The sequence below is a fragment of the Homo sapiens genome, chromosome 3, assembly GCF_000001405.40.
Source record: "Homo sapiens chromosome 3, GRCh38.p14 Primary Assembly".
In the NCBI taxonomy this organism is placed as follows: domain Eukaryota; kingdom Metazoa; phylum Chordata; class Mammalia; order Primates; family Hominidae; genus Homo; species Homo sapiens.
The window spans coordinates 94,745,459-94,748,799 of NC_000003.12; the positions used below are offsets into that span (position 1 = coordinate 94,745,459).

Sequence of the window (3,341 nt, forward strand, 5' to 3'; positions counted from 1 at the left end):
ATTTCTGAATTGGGGAGGAGCCAAGATGGCCGAATAGGAACAGCTCCGGTCTACAGCTCCCAGCGTGAGCAACGCAGAAGATGGGTGATTTCTGCATTTCCATCTGAGGTACTGGGTTCATCTCACTAGGGAGTGCCAGACAGTGGGTGCAGGTCAGTGGGTGCACGCACCATGCATGAGCCGAAGCAGGGCGAGGCATTGCCTCACTTGGGAAGCGCAAGGGGTCAGGGAGTTCCCTTTCTGAGTCAAAGAAAGGGGTGACGGACGCACCTGGAAAATCGGGTCACTCCCAGCTGAATATTGCGCTTTTCAGACGGGCTTAAAAAACGACGCACCACGAGATTATATCCCGCACCTGGCTTGGAGGGTCCTATGCCCACAGAGTCTTGCTGATTGCTAGCACAGCAGTCTGAGATCAAACTGCAAGGCAGCAACGAGGCTGGGGGAGGGGCGCCTGCCATTGCCTAGGCTTGCTTAGGTAAACAAAGCAGCCAGGAAGCTCGAAATGGGTGGAGCCCACCACAGCTCAAGGAGGCCTGCCTGCCTCTGTAGGCTCCACCTCTGGGGGCAGGGCACAGACAAACCAAAAGACAGCAGTAACCTCTGCAGACTTAAATGTCCCTGTCTGACAGCTTTGAAGAGAACAGTGGTTCTCCCAGCACGCAGCTGGAGATCTGAGAACTGGCAGACTGCCTCCTCAAGTGGGTCCCTGACCCCTGAACCCCGAGCAGCCTAACTGGGAGGCACCCCTCAGCAGGAGCACACTGACATCTCACACGGCAGGGTATTCCAACAGACCTGCAGCTGAGGGTCCTGTCTGTTAGAAGGAAAACTAACAAACAGAAAGGACATCCACACCAAAAACCCATCTCTACATCACCATCATCAAAGACCAAAAGTGGATAAAACCACAAAGATGGGGAAAAAACAGAACAGAAAAACTGGAAACTCTAAAATGCAGAGCGCCTCTCCTCCTCCAAAGGAACGCAGTTCCTCACCAGAAACAGAACAAAGCTGGATGGAGAATGACTTTGACGAGCTGGGAGAAGAAGGCTTCAGACGATCAAATTACTCTGAGCTACGGGAGGACATTCAAACCAAAGGCAAAGAAGTTGAAAACTTTGAAAAAATTTAGAAGAATGTATAACTAGAATAACCAATACAGAGAAGTGCTTAAAGGAGCTGATGGAGCTGAAAACCAAGGCTTGAGAACTACATGAAGAATGCAGAAGCCTCAGGAGCCGATGCGATCAACTGGAAGAAAGGGTATCAGCAATGGAAGATGAAATGAATGAAATGAAGCGAGAAGGGAAGTTTAGAGAAAAAAGAATAAAAAGAAATGAGCAAAGCCTCCAAGAAATATGGGACTATGCGAAAAGACCAAATTTACGTCTGATTGGTGTACCTGAAAGTGACGGGGAGAATGGAACCAACTTGGAAAACACGCTGCAGGATATTATCCAAGAGAACTTCCCCAATCTAGCAAGGCAGGCCAACGTTCAGATTCAGGAAATATAGAGAACGCCACAAAGATACACCTCGAGAAGAGCAACTCCAAGACACGTAATTGTCAGATTCACCAAAGTTGAAATGAAGGAAAAAATGTTAAGGGCAGCCAGAGAGAAAGGTCGGGTTACCCTCAAAGGGAAGCCCATCAGACTAATAGCGGATCTCTCAGCAGAAACCCTACAAGCCAGAAGAGAGTGGGGGCCAATATTCAACATTCTTAAAGAAAGAATTTTCAACCCAGAATTTCATATCCAGCCAAACTAAGCTTCATAAGTGAAGGAGAAATAAAATACTTTACAGACAAGCAAATGCTGAGAGATTTTGTCACCACCAGGCCTGCCCTAAAAGAGCTCCTGAAGGAAGCACTAAACATGGAAAGGAACAACCGGTAAAAGCCGCTGCAAAATCATGCCAAAATGTAAATACCATGGAGACTAGGAAGAAACTGCATCAACTAACGAGCAAAATCACCAGCTAACATCATAATGACAGGATCAAATTCACACATAACAATATTAACTTTAAATGTAAAGGGGCTAAATGCTCCAATTAAAAGACACAGACTGGCAAATTGGATAAAGAGTCAAGACCCATCAGTGTGCTGTATTCAGGAAACCCATCTCACGTGTAGAGACACACATAGGCTCAAAATAAAATGATGGAGGAAGATCTACCTGGCAAATGGAAAACAAAAAAAGGCAGGGGTTGCAATCCTAGTCTCTGATAAAACAGACTTTAAACCAACAAAGATCAAAAGAGACAAAGAAGGCCATTACATAATGGTAAAGGGATCAATTCAACAAGAAGAGCTAACTATCCTAAATATATATGCACCCAATACAGGAGCACCCAGATTCATAAAGCAAGTCCTGAGTGACCTACAAAGAGACTTAGACTCCCACACATTAATAATGGGAGAGTTTAACACCCCACTGTCAACATTAGACAGATCAATGAGACACAAAGTCAACAAGCATACCCAGGAATTGAACTCAGCTCTGCACCAAGTGGACCTAATAGACATCTACAGAACTCTCCACCCCAAATCAACAGAATATAAATTTTTTTCAGCACCACACCACACCTATTCCAAAATTGACCACATAGTTGGAAGTAAAGCTCTCCTCAGCAAATGTAAAAGAACAGAGATTATAACAAACTATTTCTCAGACCACAGTGCAATCAAACTAGAGCTCAGGATTAAGAATCTCACTCAAAACCGCTCAACTACATGGAAACTGAACAACCTGCTCCTGAATGACTACTGGGTACATAACAAAATGAAGGCAGAAATAAAGATGTTCTTTGAAACCGACGAGAACAAAGACACAACATACAAGAATCTCTGGGACGCATTCAAAGCAGTGTGTAGAGGGAAATTTATAGCACTAAATGCCCACAAGAGAAAGCAGGAAAGATCCAAAATTGACACCCTAATATCACAATTAAAAGAACTAGAAAAGCAAGAGCAAACACATTCTAAAGCTAGCAGAAGGCAAGAAATAACTAAAATCAGAGCAGAACTGAAGGAAATAGAGACACAAAAAACCCTTCAAAAAATTAATGAATCCAGGAGCTGGTTTTTTGAAAGGATCAACAAAACTGATAGACCGCTAGCAAGACTAATAAAGAAAAAAGAGAGAAGAATCAAATAGACACAATAAAAAATGATAAAGGGGATATCACCACTGATCCCACAGAAATACAAACTACCATCAGAGAATACTACAAACACCTCTACGCAAATAAACTAGAAAATCTAGAAGAAATGGATAAATTCCTTGATACATACACTCTCCCAAGACTAAACCAGGAAGAAGTTGAATCTCTGA

General features: G+C 43.6%; 1 annotated feature.

Annotated features, from left to right (window-relative positions):
- Window positions 305–828: an enhancer, noted in NCBI's record as "NANOG-H3K27ac-H3K4me1 hESC enhancer chr3:94464607-94465130 (GRCh37/hg19 assembly coordinates)". NCBI's record gives its function as "activates a minimal SCP1, AML or CMV promoter by ChIP-STARR-seq in naive H9 embryonic stem cells {active_cell/tissue: H9 hESC(naive)}" and the evidence as "EXISTENCE:reporter gene assay evidence [ECO:0000049][PMID:30033119]".